This window comes from Homo sapiens, chromosome 1 (genome assembly GCF_000001405.40).
Source record: "Homo sapiens chromosome 1, GRCh38.p14 Primary Assembly".
Taxonomy (NCBI): Eukaryota; Metazoa; Chordata; class Mammalia; order Primates; family Hominidae; genus Homo; species Homo sapiens.
In genome coordinates, this window is record NC_000001.11 from 62576255 (window position 1) to 62597220 (window position 20966).

General features: G+C 34.4%; 1 protein-coding gene across 15 annotated transcripts in view; it reads right to left on the reverse strand.

Moving 5' to 3' along the window:
• DOCK7 (dedicator of cytokinesis 7) overlaps positions 1-20966 on the reverse strand; it is a 233661-nt gene that overhangs the window by 121529 nt on the left and 91166 nt on the right. For 14 of the 15 annotated variants that reach the window (XM_047432967.1, NM_001272001.2, NM_001272000.2 and 11 more), the window contains exons 15-18: positions 10253-10370; positions 6930-7000; positions 2574-2712; positions 1008-1109 (exon numbers count right to left, since the gene is read on the reverse strand). In XM_047432967.1, coding sequence (XP_047288923.1) covers positions 1008-1109; positions 2574-2712; positions 6930-7000; positions 10253-10370 — 430 coding nt within the window. Of the gene's footprint in view, positions 1-1007; positions 1110-2573; positions 2713-6929; positions 7001-7847; positions 8625-10252; positions 10371-20966 lie in introns of those variants that run through there. The other variant, NM_001272002.2, reaches the window with a different exon arrangement.

The following is a 20966-nucleotide window of genomic DNA, read 5'->3' on the forward strand; positions in this document are numbered from 1 at the left end:
GAGATAAAGTGGGAGAGGCTGCTATTTAGAATAATCATAGATGACTTCCTTGGTGAGGTGATATTTGAGTAGAGGTCTGAGTAAAATGAAGAACCAGGCTTTGTGATAGAGCACTGCCAGCAGAGGGAAGAGCAAAGGGCCTGAAATGCAAATGCACTTTTCGTGTGTAAGGAACAGCAGAGGCTCTGTGCTATGTGGCTATCAAAAGTGAGTGACAGAGAACAGTGAGAAATAAGATCAGAGCAATAGCCTTGAATTGTTTTTTAAAAATAAAAATACATAAAAATTTATTTGTGAATACATTTTGAATTGTATTCTGAAAACAAATAGCACCAGGAAAATATTCACAAAACGTATTTTAGAGTAACATTTACCAGCAGTTATATTCAAAATCATTAAGAGACACTGACAACCATTGTGTTTCTCTCAAGAGGAACTTTGGTTTATGAACGGTGGCTATTGATTCTTGATTGAGATTTTTCCAATATTTGTGTTACAAGTCTTTCAAATCCCATATGTAATCATCAAAGTTGCCAATATCTCATGTATTACAGGTTCACAGCTACTTTGTTTTCATTCACATGATCTTCAATTACAAAAAGATTCTAAAAAATTAATTTAAATCTGTTTTCCTTCCTCCAGTCTTTTAGTGAAATGTTAAGTCTACTAAAAATAAAAAAGAAATATTCATTTATTTAAAGAAGTTTCTCAAGTTACAGTATGAAAATTCTCCAAAATGATCTTTTGAGTTTACATTCCATGTATTATTTTGGTTTTAAAATGAGGATATTTACATTTAAAATGAAATTTAAATTTAAATTTAAAAACAGGATAAAAGCTTTTAAGTTTTATGTAAAAGAATTTTAACCACGGGAGAAAATACTTTTCCTTCATTATCTATAAACTTTAAGTAGAAGAAATGGCAAGAGTTTGCTTGGTAAAAACATCTTTATAGTAAAAAACCCATTTCATTCAATCTGGAGAAAGTCAACATGGGAGACACTGACCTCAGGAGACAGTACAGAATAAGCCTGTGGTGGTTTTTCCAATGAGACTGGCAAGCAAAACTGGCCAGTCTTCAACCGTCCATTCTGAAGCATTGGTATCCACTTTTAAATGAAAAGAAAACAATTTTATTTTAAATATGCTTGCTATAAAAATAATTACTTAGCATGTTTTAAGAACTTGGTACAAGCCAAATTTGTCCCATATCATCAAACATTAAGGGATTTAATTATACAAGTAATAATAATAATAGGCCTTCATAATCCCTCTAAAGAGAAGTTTCCCTAATGAAATTTTATTAAGGAGGATATCACCAAAACATTATTATTACTAACCATGCAATATTAAAATCTAGAGGCAAAAAGTTGGTCTTAGAAAAAAGCCATGAAGTAAATCCATTTTAAAACTGAGATAATCATTTCAATGTAAATAGTGAAAGAAATAATTGATTGAGACAGGAATGATAGAAACAAAAAGTATGATCATAAATTTATTTTCTTACAGTTAGAGCAAAACTCATGTCACAAACTGCAAGAGACAAAAATAATGAATCAAATGTTGGCTTTTCTCTTCTGGCTGAAAGCATAATTTTTCTGACAGAACTGTGTTATACCATGACTTCCTTCATCTTAGGTTTATCTTTGCAATTCAACCATAGTAATTTTTTTTTTCTTTTTTTTTGAGACAAGAGTCTCACTCCATCGCCCAGGCCAGAGTGCAATGGCATGATCTTGGCTCACTGCAACCTCTGCCTCCCGGGCTCAAGCAATCCTCCCATCTCAGCCTCCCTAGCAGCTGGGATCACAGGTGCACGACACCACGCCTAGCTAATTTTTGTATTTTTGGTAGAGATGGGGTTATGCCAAGCTGGAAAGCATAATTTTGAAAAATACTCAAGGGTTTTAATTTATTCTCCAATAGTCTCTTTTACTCATTTTATATAAAATCATTATCTGCTGAAGAGTCTATGAACCTATTATATTTATACTGCATTGTTGGGTATACACCTAATAATCAGGACCAACACCCAAGTGTTTATACGTGTTAGTCAATAAATCAATTAATTACATTAGTTAATTACATTAATGGGCATTTTCTTGTTATAATGGCTCTTCCTAATCAATGCAACTTCATAACTGTGGGGAATCAGACAAGAAATATTTAAATAACAAGAAACAGGCCAGGCGCCATGGCTCACGCCTGTAATCCTAGCACTTTGGGAGGCCGAGGCAGGCAGATCACTTGAAGCCAAGAGTTTGAGACCAACTTGGCAAACATGGTGAAACCCCATCTCTACTAAAAATACAAAAAAATTAGTTGGACATGGTGGCGGGCACCTGTAATCCCAGCTATTCAGGAGGCTGAGGCAGGAAAACTGCTTGAACCCAGGAAACGGAGGTTGCAGTGAGCCAAGATCGCGCCACTGCACTCCAGCCTGGGAGACAGAGACTCTGTCTCAAAAAAAAAAAAAAAAAAAAAACCCACAAATGACCAGAAATATCAATTATATCTTAAATATCACCATTATTTTAGCTCTTTGATCTAAATATTGAACCAAAAGGACTCACTGTATATCCAACTGGTGTTTCAAGAGGAGTATTTTGTTTTTGTTGACAACTAACATGATAAAAAGTAAAAAGCAAGTGATGATGGTCAGTTAAAGTAGCAGGAAGCTTAACCTTGATTTCTTCATGAAAATCAGGAGACCTTCATACAAAAAAAAAAAAAAATCAACAGTCAGTAATTTGTCCAAAATAAATAATGTATTTGTATATTTGAATAATTTTAAAATTTTAAGATTCATGTTTAATTTTTCCTCTAGTCCAAAATATTTTTCTTTATCCCCAATCTCTAAATAACTAAATCTTACTTCCATATAAGAGAGCTGCCACTGTTTCTGAAATTTCTCATCCCAATTTTCTTAATGGGCTGAGTAATCCTACTATTTAAAAGTTCATTAATAATCACCACTTTGATCCTGAGATCTCCATTAGATTGGAAGCTGCATAAAAGAGGACACTAAGGTAGGGAGTTCTCTATTTATGAGCCAATTCTGATAAACATTACATAAAACATTTTTCCTTCATAGGAGAATGCTTTCATATTAAAACTAATGTTTATCATCCTTTTGTAAAAAAATGGGAAAAAAGGCATCTTTAGACAACTTAATATCAAAATATCACATTGGAGGCCAGGTGTAGTGGCTCACACCTGTAATCCCAGCACTTTGGGAGGCTGTGGCGTCAGGATCACTTGGAGTCAGGAGTTTGAGACCAGTCTGCACAACATAGCCAGACTCATCTCTACAAAAAATTTAAAAAAGTCCTAGCTACTTGGGAGGCCGAGATGAGAGGATCACTTGAGTCCAGGAGTTCAAGGCTGCAGTGAGCTATGATCCTGCCACTGCACTCTGGCCTAGGTGACAGAGTGAGACCGAAAAAAAAAAAAAAAAAAAAAAGATCAAGTTTTGCTCTATAGACTGTCTTATATCAACCATCTCACTGTTGAAGAAATAAAAAAAGTTACCTAAATCCTAAATATGGACTAGAATTGACCACTAAAACAAACAAAAAAAACCAGTAAAATCAGGAAACGCCCACAAACTGCATTTGCCTCAGTTTAGAAGCGCTTCCAGACTCTTAAGAATACATCAAATATCTTGTTTGACCAAACCAATGACACTTTCTTCTCAATATTCATTGAGAATAATCCCAAGAGGGCACTTTTATAGAAAAGCACGGCTGCTATTCATAACAAAAAGGGATAAAACCTTAGCATCCCAACCTTCCATATTCAGTGAGTATCTCTCAGAATTACATTCAACAAAAATGCAACCAAACCATATTGCTCCAACTATCTTTAAAGCGAGGTCTGTCCCACCAATCAGGTTTTCTTCCTTAGATGTTAATAGGTCAAATATCCTTCTATCTCAAATAAGCCTCAAAAACATTAACAGGTATAGACTTGAACACAGGAATATTAAGTAGAACAAGGCTTTTGATAATAAACAAGAAAGATAGCTAATGTTAGCCATCTGAGAACTTGATGACTTCAGTGAAAAAAAATAAGACACTAGGCATCTTATTACCAATCCCACCAAATCACCACTGAATTATGAGAAAGTTGAGTTTACCAACAATGTCAGATGGCATAGTCATTTTAATTCCACTAATGCTGAGAACAAAAATAAAGACCTAGCAATAAAATGAGATAATTTTTAGAAATTACTATCTTCCTTATCAATATATTTCTTGGTATTCAGTGTTTTAGTTCACTTCTGTCCTAAAAATCATGTAATGTGAAGACTTTTGTTGAAAATTAAATATCTAAGAGAGTTATTCATTCAATAAGTAGGTTTAATTGCCCACCTTTGGCTAAACATTGCATTACTTTTGTGGTGGTTTTAAAGATGAAGATTAAAAAAAAACTTCCCTCAAAAACTAGGCAACAGCAGGAATATAAGTAAGACACATATATATCAATAGCTATGCTATAAAACAGGGGTTGGCAAACTATGGCCTATGAGCTAAAAATAGTTCACTGCCTGGTTTTGTATAGCCTGCAAACTAAGAATGGTTTTTACATTTTTAAATGATTGGGGGTAAAAAAGAATAATATTTCACAACATGTGAAAATAATATGAAATTCAAATTTCAATGTCCATGAATAAAGCTTTATTGGAACACAGCTACACCCATTTACTTGTAACATGACTTACTGCCTATGGCTGTTTTTGCACTATAATGGCATAGATGAATGGCTGCAAGAGAGACCATATAACCACAGGCCTAAAATATATACCATCCAGTCCTTTGTAGAAAATTTTTGCCGACCCCTGGTATACAGCATATAGGGTTATGTGCTTCAAAAACAGAGCTGAACAGATTACTTCAAGTTTGAGATCAGGGAATTGTAACTTAGGAGGTAATATTTGATATGGACCTTGAAGAATGAGTAGGAGTTCAATAAGTAAAGGGATTTGGTATTATAATAGAAAAAAAACCAAGAATGGCCCAGAAACAGGACAGCACAGGTTATGTTTAGTAATAAAGCAGAAAAGAAATCAGCAAGACTTAACAGATGATTGAATATTAGAGAAGAGGAAAGACAAAGATGTCTTAAATTTTGCGCCAGAGTAACTGGAAAATGGTGGTATCATTAATAAAAATGGAGAGTAAGAAAGACATAGGGTCAGGACAAGAGTCAAGGATAGATATATGAACACAGAGAAGACAGCAGGGCATCCAAATGAGTATGTCCAGTAGGCCACTAAAAATATATATCTGTACTTCAGAAGGAAGGTATTACTAAAAATAGAGTTGGAAACAATCCACATAAATATTAAAGCAGTAGCATTTTCACTGAATGTAACTCTGAGAGATACATGTACGATTATTTAAGAAAACAATATATTAAGAATGAGGGTTAAGGGCAAAACGTTAGTGTTTTGTGTGGAATGCCTTACACTTACGGGAAAAAGAATACTACAGAAAAAAAAAAGAAGTGTTCAAAGAGGTAGAAGGAAGCTCAAGACAAGGCCACAATATAAAGACAAGAAAGAAGAAAGTTTTAAGAAGGGCAAGGAAAATACATACTATACAACAGCACCAAGAAAGGACTGTTGTGTTTTTAAGTATGGAAACAGAAGCTTCTTTTTGAGAATAAGAGACAGAGCCAATGAAGCAGGAGACTAATGCTGCAAGAAACCGGATAAATGATTGACTTATATTCTGGAAGAGGTTAAAAGGATCATTTGAAAGCAGAGGTGAAAAGATTCACATTTAACAGGGAGTAGGCCATCACTCCCCTTGAAACAGAAGGAAAGGCAAATCAGTATAGAGAATTTGAGATGAAGAGTAGAGAAGTTGATGGACCACGTCAAGTTGGATAGTCTTGATAAATAGGAATGCTGAGAGTAAAGCACATAGAAAAGAAGCAGGAGCTAGAAGAAACTCCTGTAGCTACTGCTAAATGAAGGCAAAGTGTTAAAACAATAAGATTATAAAAGAGGCCGGGCGCGGTGGCTCACGCCTGTAATCCCAGCACTTTGGGAGGCCGAGGCGGGCGGATCACGAGGTCAGGAGATCGAGACCATCCCGGCTAAAACGGTGAAAACCCGTCTCTACTAAAAATACAAAAAATTAGCCGGGCGTAGTGGCGGGCGCCTGTAGTCCCAGCTACTTGGGAGGCTGAGGCAGGAGAATGGCGTGAACCCGGGAGGCGGAGCTTGCAGTAAGCCGAGATCCCGCCACTGCACTCCAGCCTGGGGGACAGAGCGAGACTCCGTCTCAAAAAAAAAAAAAAAAAAAAAAAAAAAAAAGATTATAAAAGAGCTGTGGGCCCCAAAAAAAAAAAGATAAAATGAATTGCTGTAGCCCTATCATATGATACAATAACATCAATTTGTGATAGTCCTGATTAGTACAATTTTGTGATTTTTCCCCAACAGTATTCAATAATCCCCCCAAAAGAAAGAAGAAATTAAAGGTTATCCAAAGTTAGCAATTTCCCAAGGAAGAAAAATGACAAGTCACTAAATCAAAGAATTAATGGATACTGGTAACATCACCAATTTAACTGACTAATGTGTTCAAGCTTAGTAAAGGGTAAAGTTACTACAAAGTGTCAGGTGGAAATAACTGGGAAAGACCAAAGGACCAGCGGCCACAATGATAATCAATAACAATATAATAAAAATGAAAGGATCAGAGAATTCGATAGAAAAGATGTTTGGTGTACAAAGTCATATTTGGGATGTCAATAGAGAATGGCTGTGCATCCACAGGTTGAAAATTATAACTCTGATGTCAGCCTTGAATTTGGCACATTTAGTGCAGCAAAGCATTTGGTAAACACACTAATGTGAGTGCTAACAATGCCACTGAGAAGTGAGTAACTTTGAAAGAAATATTTGAATTCAGTACCTGTTATGATATACTACGGCTGTATAGGCTTCCTTTGAAAATTCTGAACAGCTAGATTTACCAAAGATTACCTGAAACAAATAACAGCATGTTGAAACTTTGTTGTAGTAAATGCTGGATGTTTCATAACTATGTAAGAATTTGTCTGATTTAATAACTATTTGAGAAAAATGGGCAAAATCAGCCCAATGAAGAACAATGTGCCTACTGACGTTCATCAAAAAGTTCAATTGCTTAACTATAAGTTTCTTTTCAACAACAGACCCATCTGACATTTAAATATTTCAAAAGTTTCTATCAATTTTATTTATATCTACTGGGAAATTAGATACATTTCTTTCCTTTTTCTTAAAGAAGGTGAAGAATTCACTTTTAAATCAGATGTAGCATATTATTTGGAACTTATGTAAGAAATATAAATAGTGGCATAAACCTACTATACAAATTGTTGGCTTCAACACTAAAACAGCAGAGTCATTCTGAAAGTCAAATATAAATTATATATGATATCAGAAATCCTATTTTAGGTCAAGCTATGTATCCTTTGCTTCTAATATTTCCTTCAAGCTACTCTACAATAGAGGAGGAGCTCCATTCTTATATTTTTGCATATATATATATTTTTAATCCACCACATTAAAAAGAATACAATATTACTTTTGGAATAAGTTTATAGATAAAGTAATTCAGCCTTGTATATCTGTCTCTTGACTTCTGGAGTAATAACAGGAATACTGTCGTTAATCAGAGCAGCTGATTAGATAAATGGCTCAATGTCAAGGTTATAGCTATAATTCCTATGTGAGACAGACTTGCAGTGTTATCTAGCCAGAGATTAAACTTTTAAAGTCTGTATAGCCATCTTTACATATGCATGAATAGATATGTGAACATGTCAGACAATTCCATCAACACAACTGGTAAAACAACTCAAAGTTTATTATTTATATAAAGAGATTAATTGGCATCATCCTTAATTAGAAGGGCATATTAGCAGGTATTTCTGTTTCTTTTTGCAACATTTCAAGCAGGCTCTTTTATTTTAAGGGTATGTACAAGTGTAATAATTATGACTTTCCTAAGATATATATTATTTCATCAATTTACAAATACCTTAGTATGTTTTCATAAATTGTTCCTGTGCCAGAATTATGAAGTTTACAATTTTATCATGTCAATATTACATTATCAAAAAGTTATCTTAGGACCCATTTAAACAGCCCTTTTTTTAAAAAAGGCAAACACAGTATGTCTATGTTTATATACTCTTTCAAATCAGCCATTTCATACATAAAAACATTGTATTTTCATATGACTAATAACACACAAGTAAAAGAAATGCAATACCTTTTTTCCCTCTGAGAAGCTATCACTTTTCACAAAATAACTTGTTTATTTTCATAATATGACATAAAGCAGACAGTGTTCCTTTTTTGACCATTTGACATGTACTTTTAATCATTTAGCAATATGGATTGAGCATTAATTATTTATCCAAAAATGTGACAGGAGTCAAGATATAGACATGAGTAAGACATCGTCCCTGCCCTCAAGGAGCTCACAATCTAATGGGTGAAATTAAGAAATATAGAATCATCAAGTGATAAAGTCCCATGAAAGAAGTGAGAAGATGCTATGGTAGCACCAAAGAGGGAGAGGTCTAACTGTCGGTATAGGATGGGTGCAGCTGGGGCTCTGTAGAGGAGGCCACATATATGATAAGACAAGGAAGAGTTTGTTAGGTAAACAATAAAAAATAGATTATTCTACATATATTACATTTGTCGTATGCTCAAATTCATATGGCAACTCACACATAGGCTGACCAAGTATCTATTTTCACAATCTAGTATCTTTTCATCAACTATCATAGTACATTCATTCCTTCAGCAGAAATGAACTAGTATAAAACATGAAATGTGAATTCCAAATCTCAAAAATAAATTCTACAATTATTCAACAAATATTTATTCAGTATGTATTATATGCAATAATCTGAAAAAAATGCCATACGAGAATACAAAGATGAATAATTTGTGCTCACTGTTGTCAAGGATATCTACAAATGTTGATGTAACTGAGGCAATAGGGTAGATGAAAATGTATCTTTCCCAGTATGTGGAAAATCAGAAGAACTTCATTAAAAGATGGACATGGAAGGATAAAATAAGACTATTAACAATGCACCTATTCTTAGGTCATTTTCATCCCACTAGGGTTCTCAGAGGTTGAGAATCTATAGCAATAGCATATTTCTATTCCATATGTTACTGACTTCAGCTGAGCCAAAAATTCACTCTCATGAAACTTGCATTTATTAGTGTCCCACAAATCCTGAATGACAATTTGGACAGTCAAGAATCTCTAGTCTGGTCTCAATCTACTATTTCTGATTTTTCTTCCAGTGCTCTGGTTCCCTGGCAACTCACCACTGTCATTACTGTTCACAGGCATTCCCCAACTTGAAATGCTTTCCTTTCCCTGCTCTCCAAACACACTGCTATTAACATTTTAATGACCTTTGGTTTCAGCACAAAAGTACCTTTTCCATGAGATGCCTGTTACCTCAGTAAGGCATTATCTCCCACCTCTGAATACCTACCTATTCCTTTGAATCCCTATACCAATCTTCTAATAATTAGCACATAGCTTGATTCTCAACATTGTCTGCAAAATGTAATCCCTGGTGAGACTTAAAAATACTGAAACCTGGTCCAATCCCCATACATTATGATTTAAGTGAGATTCAGCCTGAGCACTGGTAGTTTGAAAAGCTTCCCAGGTGAATCTAATGTGCAGCCAAGATTGAGAACTAATGCCAGAGTTTGTCAACCAAGGTAGGAAAAGCCATACATATTAAAATCACCCACGGAGCATTTTCAAACTATAACACAGCCTCATATACCACACATCACTTCCCACCTCCTTAGCTGGCCTTACATTCTAAAGGGAGTTGAGGAGAATAAGAATCACAGACGCCAAAAGTACAGAAAAGATATCTCTACTTTGATAGAGTTCTCTAGGTGATCTAACCCTCTTTTGAAAATCACTATTTTAGATTTATATGTATTCATTTTATATCCTCTGGATTACAAGTCTTATTCATCTTTGTATTTCTAGGAGTGCCTAACATATACCAAGTCTTCAAAAATAAGTTAGTCTTCAAGTAATGTCATTACTATCTATACAGAAAGTAATGCAGTTAGAAATTTGGTTTAAAAGATCACATTAATTTCCAGGTTGCAGTTGCCAACCAAAGAGAAAGAAAAAAGTCTATTTGAACTTAATACAAAAAATTAGAAAAGTAAAAGAACATTTCTTACCGGCATGGCATTGCTTGGATCCTCTCCATACATAAACTGGACTTTCACTGTTATATTTCTAGCAGAACCTTGACGATTGGCAAAATTAAGACTCTGAGGGTATATGTAGAGAAGATTTCTGTGAAAGCAACAGTATAGATGATAGTAAATACATATCTAAGAAACACTATGTATCACTCACAAAATACCACAAAATAAGTGACCAAATACTGAATTACTGATATTGGCTAGCAATTATGCTAAGTATTTTCACATGTGACGTTTTATTTACTCCTGAGAGCAATCATTCAAATACACAGCAATAAAACATGTCCCAATTTTGCAGATAAATTGAGATTCAGAAAAGTTAACTGATTTTTGCATATAACCAAGTGAGTGACAAAGCTGAAATCAGAGTAAAGGTCAGTCAGACTTCAAAACTCATTATCTTCACTCTACAAGAGGCTTCTGGAATAAATGAATATGGACTGACACATTATTAAGTTAAAAAAATAGTTCTAATATTATCTTAGTTCCTCCAAGCACATATAAATAGGATGACATTTATAAATGTGGCTTTTGTATAAATGTGATTAAGAATTTAAGAGGTATAATATTCCACATTATTTTTCAAAAACACATTACAATATGATGGATATAATAGAGTTAGGTAGTTACTACAAAACAATAACATCCTAATTTGCATTTATTTGAATTCTTGTCCAGCTCATCATCTCTATCATAGACAAACTTTAATAGTCCTTGCTGCCAACACACAGAAGAGAAATAATTCAAGAAAAGACACCAAATAGCTAAAAAAAAAAAAAAAAAAAAAAAAGAATCAAGAGTTACTTTACCTGAAGACTAGCGTTTAGAGCCAATGAACAAGACGTTTAGTATAATAGAACCTTGCTAATCAACTGCTGGGGCAATGAAAACAGGTCTAAATTTTCTGAAGAGTGGTAGGGCAATATAGAAATTTTAAATGAACATAACACTTTGACCCAACAAACACACCTCTAACCTAAGGAGAAAACTGTACACATGTGCAAATGATTGTGTTCAAAGTAATTCATTACAACATTTTTGATAAGAGAATGATTACACAAAATTATAAAGAAACACAACGTTTATCAGTACTGAGTTGGTTAATTAAGATACCTTAATAAGAAGGAATATCATGTATCCCCAAACAATGTACAGCCATATTTATTGATGTGGAAAGAGATACCTAGCATGTTGAATGGGATATACAGTGAGGAAGAAGCAGGTTCCAGAGCAGGATGTATAGTAACATTACCCTATTTGTGGAAAACTCTGTGTGGGGGTGTGGGGGAAGGTAGAGAGACAGAGTGGATAAAATTATATTTCTAAAAACTAATAATGATGGCTGGGCTTGAGTGTGTTTTAGTTAATAGTAATGGTTTTCTTTTTTTATACTTTACAATTTTACAGTGAAAATATATGATCTTTACAATTAGAAAAAGCAATAAAGTAATTGCCATGCCAGAGGATGGGAATGTCTTTGACAATAAGCACACCAACTAGAAGTACTAAAAAAAGAAGAAGAATCAGTTGTGCTCAAAATAGTCAAAACATATAAAAGGCAAATACAGAACTGTTATGACTGGTCAGCTTGCTAGTCTAAAAAACTTAAGATCAAAGATGACTATGACTGACCAACCACTGAAATCATCCAGTAAAATTTATAAAGAAAACATTTGCTGATTGCTCCAACAAATGTCAGGCATTGTGTTGGGCACTAGAAAAATAAATAGGAAGATTAAGAAGTCATTCCCTGGTCTTGAGGAACATAGTATAATGGGATAAAAATGCCTATACACAGACCACTTCAAAACAACACAGTGTTACAAGACAGGCATGCAAAAGCCCTATAGGAGGAAAAAATAGGTACCTAGCTGTCTGTGGGGAAGTCTTTTCATTTATAAGATCCCCCATCTTTTCTAGCCTTGTGATTTATTTGTTGAAGAAAGTGAAGTTTCTCTGTAGATTTTCCAGAGCCTAGATTTTACTGATTGCACCCCTGTAGTGTCATTTGAGATGTTCTTCTGTGGTTTTTGTAAATTGAGAATTGAATCTAGCGCCTTAGTCATATTTAGGTTAGAATTTTTTTCAGGAAGATCACTTTATAAAGGATAATGTGTTATTTTTTCAGGAAATGTTTGGTTGCTTCCTTCTATGAAATTAGTAGACGATGATCAATGCCTAAATCCATTATTTTTTTAATTTTTAAAATTTATTTATTTTTTTAAGAGACAAGGTCTCACTCTGTCGCTCAGGCTGAAGTGCAGTGGTACGATCATACCTCACTGCAGCCTTGAACTCCTGGCCTAAAATGATCCTTCTGCCTCAGCCTCCTACGTAGCTGGGACTACAGGCACGTGCCATCACACTGGGCTAATTTTTCTATTTTTTTGTAGAGATGGAGTCTTACTATGTTGCCCAGGCTGGTCTTATATTCCTGGGCTCAAGTGATTCTCCCATCTTGGCCTCCCAAAATGCTGGGATAACAGGCACAAGCCACAGTCCCCAGCCCACCTAAATCCATTAATTAATTAAGGTTGCCAAACGGTAATATCCTGTCATTTCTTTTTAATTTTGCATCTGGAGTACATTTATGAAGAGTGCTTTCCCTCATCTACTATTTGCTTTGCCAGTGAACCATCATATGAGAGGCAGGAATAAATGCTTGATTCTTTTCCATTACCTGCCAGTTTGCAAAATAATAAATTGGTGCACTACAATCCTCCAAAAACGATCAATTACATCTTATTTTTTAGCATCATTTATAAACTCACAGATGAAACATATTTGATGAGTCTCAGTATATTAGAGTTATTATTCTTATGGATGATTAACTTGTCCCATCTTTGGCAAATGAAAAAAACAATGCAAGCTGGTTTTTGATTCAATCATAGTGGTCTGTGACAATTTTCTGTTATGACAAGACGTTCCAGACTCTTATTTTTTTTTCCCCCGACCTGGAGTCAGTCATTTTACCAAGAAGCTGTAGTTTTCTTAAGAAACATTTTTTTCAAACCACAACGTGAGCATTCATTGTGGATTGGTCACTGTTTCTAGACAATTTAAGTACAAAGAGTTGGGGAGAAATGCTTCCAACAAAAAAAAAAAAGTATCCAGACTTCATACTGATATTTCCAACTCAAATTCAGGACTATAAGGTTTTTACTTAATCTTTTCTGTCTTGTATCTGTACATCATTTTTCCCAAGCTGAGAGTTATTCTCAAGGACACCAACTATGAAAGAATTAAAAGTATATCATTTAATGGCGTGAACCCGGTAGGCGGAGCTTGCAGTGAGCCGAGATCGCGCCACTGCACTCCAGCCTGGGTGACAGAGCAAGACTCCATCTAAAAAAAAAAAAAAAAAAAAAGTATATCATTTAATTACTCATCTGTGTTGTTCTAAGAATGGCATCTTAAGAAATCCCAAGATTCTACGTTCAGACAGAGACAGACAAGTCTGCAAAGAAGACCGAAAGGGCACCCATACAGAAGACAGAAAACCACCAGAGTACAATGACATGGAAACCAAAGGAAGAAAATATAAGAAAAATGAAATAATTAAATATTTAGTGCTACTCAAGAGCCAAGTTAGGCAAGTACTGAAAAAATTCAACGGGATTTAGCAAAATGAAAGTCACTGATAATCTCAGGCTGCAAACAGATAAAAGTAGGGTCAGGAATAAAAAGGAGGTAAGAAATTCTTAAAAGTAGCTGTGAAGGGAAAAAAGATAATGCAATAATTGGAGACAGACTATGGGAATTTTGGAAGTCTTTTAAAATAAGAAAGGTTTGATCTTGATCACATCCTTGTGAAAATAATTTAGTTAAGACAGAGTCTGCATATACTAGAACAAGAATGTAAGATTCCTGAGGCGATGGTGGGAAAGAACAGAATCCAAAGCACATGGTAATATATTAACCTGAAGTATGTCTATAATTCCTCATTGCAATGTTTATTGAGTATCCAGTGTGATAGGTACTGAGAATAGAGATAAAAGATGAAGTCCTTAGCTTCATAGAACTCGTGGTCTAGAGGGGAAATCAGACAAGCAAATAATGATAATAATGTAGTATGATAAATGCTGTGAACACAGAATCACACTGCAGCCAGACAAGGACCTGGGATTAAAGAATCTGCTCACAAAGCACATGAACAGACACTTCTGAAAAGAAGACACACATGCAGCCAACAAGCATATGAAAAAAACCTCAACATCACTGATCATGAGAGAAATGCAATTCAAAACCACAATAAGATACCATCTCACACCAGTCAGAATGGCTATTATCAAAAAGTAAAAAAGGAATAACAGATGCTGGTGAGGTTGTGGAGAAAAGGGAACACTTATACACTGTTGGTGGGAGTCTTAGTTTAACCACTGTAGAAAGCAGTATGGCGATTCCTCAAAGAGCAAAAAGCAAAACTACCATTCGACCCAGCAATCCCATTACTGTGTATATACCCGGAGGAATATAAATCATGCTACTATAAAGACATATGCACATGAATGTTCACTGCAGCACTATTCACAATAGCAAAAGACATGGAATCAACCTAAAAGCCCATCAATGACAGACTGGATAAAGAAATCAAGTAAATGTGGTACATATACACAGGGAATACCATGCAGCCATAAAAAAGAACAAGATCATCATGTCTTGCAAAAACATGGATGGAGCTGGGAACCACTATCCTTAGCAAACTAATGCAGGAAGAGAAAACCAAATACTGCATGTTCTCACTTAGAAGTTGTAGCTAAATGATAAGAACTTATGAACACAAAGAAGGAAAAAACAGACACAGGGGTCTACCTGAGAAGGGAGGGTGGAGGAGAGAGAGGAGCAGAAAAGATAACTATTGGGTACTGGGCTTAATACCTGAGTGATGAAATAATCTGTACAACTAACCCCTGTAACACGAGTTTACCTAATAAACCTTCACATGTCCCCAAACCTAAAAGTTTAAAAAAAGTATTAATCTACATTAAAAAATAAAAAATAATAAAAGAAAAGAAAAACTCAAAAAAATCTGCTCACAAATGTCAATGAGAAATTTCCAAATGAAATAGACAAGCAAAACATACAGAAAAACAAACATGCCATGCATGCTTCCCTCTACCACCCCCCACTCCCAAATCTCCACATTTGGATTACTACTATCTTTGCTTTGCGGGCATGGACATGACTGGCTACTTCCCATCTTTCAAATACAGGAAAGCCTCAACTTTACCCTTCCCCCATCACACCACTTTGTTACTTCATTCAGAACTCTTATAGAATCTATAATTATCTTGTTCATTTATGTATTACTTCTTATTTTTATATCTCCTCTAATACAGCCAAAATACATGAGGGCAGGGACCTTATCTATTTGTATAACTGCTCTATTACCAGTCCCTTAAATAGTGCCTCATATTTAATGAATAAATGAATGAATAGTACAGACAGCATTAGAAAATTTAGTTACTTAACACTTCTAGGAGTTTAGATTCCAGGTTAAATAGAAATTGAACACTATCTATAAACTACGTTTGATTTCCAATATAAGCAATATAATTTTAAACTCATCTCTGAAGGTGAAAGGCATGCAATTTTGAGTTCCGAATCCAAATTCTTTTCCATTTGACTACTAACTCCATTAATAAATTCCCAAATAAATCTAGTAAGTCTTTACATTGCATTTAAAATTCTCCTTCAAAGAAATTTCAAATCAACAAGGTAAATTAATGAAAAATGTTGAGGTAGTTGACACTTAGCAGGAAAAAGATGAATTCCTATTTCAATCTCTCATCAAAATAAATTATAGATCAAAGGCTAAAATAATAAAAATAAAACCACAAAAATACTAGAAGAGCTTTAAAGAGACCGGATTTTATAGGTGAGAAAGGCATTTCTTAGCATAAGCCAGAACATTTATAAGATGTAATTTTTAAAGCATCTATTAATACACAGCAAGTGATACCATAAACGCAGGAGGAAGAAAATGACAAACTGAAAAAATCTATTGTTTGTTATATATATAACAAAGAATTAGTATCCACAATATGTAAATAATTCCTAAAATTAGTCAGAAAGAGACAAACTTAAAAAGAGGGTAACAAGGAGGGGAGCAAATTATGTACATAACCAGATGATTCGCAAAGACGGCAACAGAGATGGCCAGCAAAACAAACTAGATATATACTTGTCTATTAGATTTATCAACATTTTTTGCCTTTTTCATTAAAAGCATTTGTAAAAGGATATAGGAAAAGAGGAACTCTCATATACTCCTGGCAGGGATGTAAATTGGTACAACCCTTTTGAAGGACAATCTGACAAAAGCAATCGTAAGTTACAAGTCAACATCTATGAATGTATATGAAAATATTTATATACATACATCACCACCATAAAAGCATTTTCTATACATACTGTTTATAATTAGAAAATTGGAAACAAATGATTAAAAGGGGGCTGATTAAATTAAGGTTCATCTATATAACAGGATTATGCAGCTATTAAAAAGGACGTGGTAACTCTATAGACATTCATAGGAAAATAAATTTTAAAATACTAAGATCCTGAATGATATATATATCATGAGCTATTATACATAACAAGATCCCACTTGTGTTATAAAAAATTATGTTTAGTCATTCAAAGGGTCTGGTATGATAGACCCAAAATGTTAATAGAGTCGAGATTTTTATTTTTTATAGGTTTTTGAAATACCTGAATTTTCACAATAAGTACTTTGCACATTAAAAATCTTAGCTGGGCATGGTGGCTCACGCTTGTAATCCCAGCACTCTGGGAGGCCAAGGTAGGCAGATCACCTGAGGTCAGGAGTTCGAGACCAGTCTGGCCAACATGGTGAAACCCCGTCTCTACTAAAAATACAAAAATTAGCCAGGCTTGGTTGGGGGTGCCTGTAATTCCAGATACTCGGGAAGCTGAGACAGGAGAATCGCTTGAACCCAGGAGGGGGAAGTTGCAGTGAGCTGAGATCACGACGCTGCACTCCAGCCTGGGCAACAAAGAGCAAAACTCCGTCTCAAAAATAAATAAAGAAAAAATCTTTACATGTCCAAAGATACGGCTGTTCAACTAAAAAATATATATGTATAAAACTTAACATGTTAATAGTGAACACACAAAACAGTAAGATAGATAAAATTATTCCTTCAAAGCTCACTTAACCTCTGGATCTACACTGTCCAAAAAGACGGTCTAATGAGACAATTGAGCACTTGATAGGTGAGTGGTTCTAACTGAGATATGTTCTCAGTATAAAACATACAATAGGATCTTCCTATACAACATTAATTAAAAAACAAACTATTGTAGTTAAAAAGGAAAAAATTAGAGATACTATGTAAAAAAGAGCCAAAATACCTTGTATTTTATTTGAAAGACATATCTCCATAAGATTACACAACCTCGTGTAGGATAAAGGACTTTGCTTTGCTTGGAATTTAAACAATTTAGGCTCTTAAATGTCCTAAAATTCTCTGTAGCTAAGAAATTTTTATATTGGTTCCTAGGAACTAGGAATCCTTAAATTAGGCCCTACATTTGCTTACAAGTTTATTTTCCTTGGCATAAAATTTTTTAGTTTTTACATTACTGGTTATATTTGATCAGGGTTCTATTTAAATAGGCACAAGTTCAAGCAAAGATCAGATTCTGCTTTTAGCAGTGTGTACTCAGACAGGAAGTATTAAAAGGCAGGCAGAAAATCCTTTATAAAATTACTACTTTCAATGCATTTTCCCACGTTGAAATGCTTCTGCAGTTTATAATTAGGCAAATTACTTTAATTATAATCAATAATGCTGTTCAAATTACTATAAGAATTATACAGATATTTATACCAAGAGACAATATACTAGAAACCAAGACTACGTGACCATTACCTCTACTCTGTCAGTGTTATTTGTGAGAAATTGCACAAATTTTGCAAAAAGTGTTAGTATCCTACTACAGTAGGATATAATATAGAAGGAAATAATTTCATAAAGCCTGTCTTTGGTACTAGTGCTCAGTTACTTTCATTAACTAAAAAAGGGGCTACTCTTCAAATTCCCTTCTCTAAAAAGAATGTACTATATCAAAAGGGGGTAAACACTACTACGTATACATTCTGCACTTAGAAATCCCTATATGTTGATTTTATCATTCTCTTATTCAATAAATATTGTTTCTACAATGTGTAAGGCATTACTGTACTAAAGCATTATAAGGAATATAAGTTAAAAACACATACAAATCTTGCCAATCAACAGCTTATAGTGTAATAGGGGAGAGAAGCTGGCCCATCTATATTCTCCCTCAACTAGCAAGTGGATGAAATATCAGGGTCAATAGTTATAAGCCACAAAAGCTGACAGCTTAATTAAGAGAAGTTTTGAAATATGTATTTCATGACCAATAATTACAACTGTAACTTTTCTATTTAAAGAAGGAGAAAATTTGAATTTCTTCTCTAGCTCAACATACACTTCTATAATTCCATTACATGAACCAGAGTAAAGGGTAAGATGGAAATGAAGAATATTTTCTTACCCTTTTGTGGTTCTATATTGGACACTTAAAAATCATACACAACCTAATCAAAAGATGTAATTCTTTAAAAAGGTACGAGACCAAAATTCAGAAAATCTAGACTATAACAAAATTTCTCAATTTACATTATCTTAATATGCAATTAATTTTCACCAGTAAAATACTATAGTATGGGTACAAATGCATTGATTAGTTCTAATTACAAAAATGGCTAATATATAATACTGTGTAGTGTTTATGATACATCAGATAATGTTCTAAGTGCTCTGAAAATATAAACTTTTAATCTTTTATACGACCCTATAAAATAGGTGTTATTCTCACTGGAGAGATGAGAAAACAGGGGTTCAGAGATGTGAAGTAATTTGACCAAAGGTCACAAAGCTGAAGAATATGAAATCCGGGATTCTGATTCAGGCAGTCTTATTCCAGAATCATGCTCTTAACCACTATGGAATACTGCCTCTACTGTAACTATTATACCCAAAACCCTTAATCCTAAGTCATCAAAAGGAAGAGCCTCTATTTTACACAATGAAGAGGCATTTCTAAGAATAGAAATTTAGGGACGAGCACAGTGGCTTACTCCTTTAATATCAGCACTTTGAGAGGCTGATATGGGAGGTTCACTTGAAGTCAGGAGTTCAAGGTCAGCTTGGGCAACATAGTGAAACACAGTCTCTACAAAATATTTAAAAATTAGCTGGGTGTGGTGGCATGCATCTATAGTCTCAGCTACTTGGGAGACAGAGGGAGGAGGCTTGCTCGAGCCCAGGAGTTCGTGGCTATAGTGAGCTATGATCATGCCACTGCACTCCAGCCTGGACAACAGAGCAAGACCCTGTCTCTAAAAAAGAAAAGAAATTTGGAAATGGTTTATTTTGTATTAACAATTTATAATTTACACTGAAATTTATTATGATAAAACTTTTCCCTGTGTTAAAAAGCTATTAACTTTATGAAAAATTTCTTTTAGGTAAGGTTGATTATATATACCCACACACATACACAGGTTAAAAGTTAGTTTCATGTGACATAATAACTAGCATTTTGAGCACTACCTGTTTGCCCAGCACTGTTCTAAGTGCTCTACATGTATTATTGTTAAATTATCATAACACTATGAATTATGTACTATAATTACCCCAGCTTTACAGATGAGGAGACTAATCCATGGGGAGGTTAAGTAACTTGTCCAAGGCCAGACAGCTAGAGCCGGCTTTTGGACCCACACCACAGTCTGACTCCAGCACCCATATTCTTAACAATTTCACCATATTAATATGTCAAGATTAAGCAGTTTTAAAGGATGCTATTTTCTCACAAATTTCTTAATATGAACACTCAATAAGAATAATCACTAATATAAGCATTTAGTATTTTTTTAACACTAAGTTGGAAGCATAGTGGAACATTTATTTTTAGAAATATTATTAATTGGCTGGGCTCACGCTTGTAATCGGCTGGGCTCATGCCTGTAAATTTTGGGAGGCCAAGGTAAAAGAATTGCTTGAGCCCAGTATTTCCAGACCAGCATGGGCAATACATTAAGACATCATCTTTAAAAAAAAAATGTTATTAATCTCCTCTTTTTGTTAAATGTATATTATCAAAATTGTTACTAAGCTAACAAACTTCAGAAAAACTTATGATGGGCAAGCTGCTTGTGACATTGAAGGTATTTAAGATTCAATTCTAGTTTGGTCCTAGATGACCACATATCCATTGTTCCTTCAACGAGCACATGGTAAAGAGCCTAGAACACAGAGACACAGAACACAGTGGAGAAAAGGGAGTGAAATGTCTTTAATGACACTTACTATATATGGGATTTTGTGACAATATACAAGGATGGTTAAGACATATAAGGTGATGCAAAAAAACATATTAACAATTATAGTGACAAAAAATGAGGAGCATATAATTATACATTGATTTATACAGAGTACCAGAGGAACACAGCATTGAGAGCCGTAACACCACCTGAGGGAGTGGAGAAAGGCTTCAGAGAGAAAGTGTTTTTTGGAATGGATCACTGTTTCCAAAAGAACTAAAGTACAGTTTGAGAAATGCATACTTAATTCATTACTTTTTTCCCCTCAACTTTAATAATAAATTTACCCAACAAAAAAGTTTATTT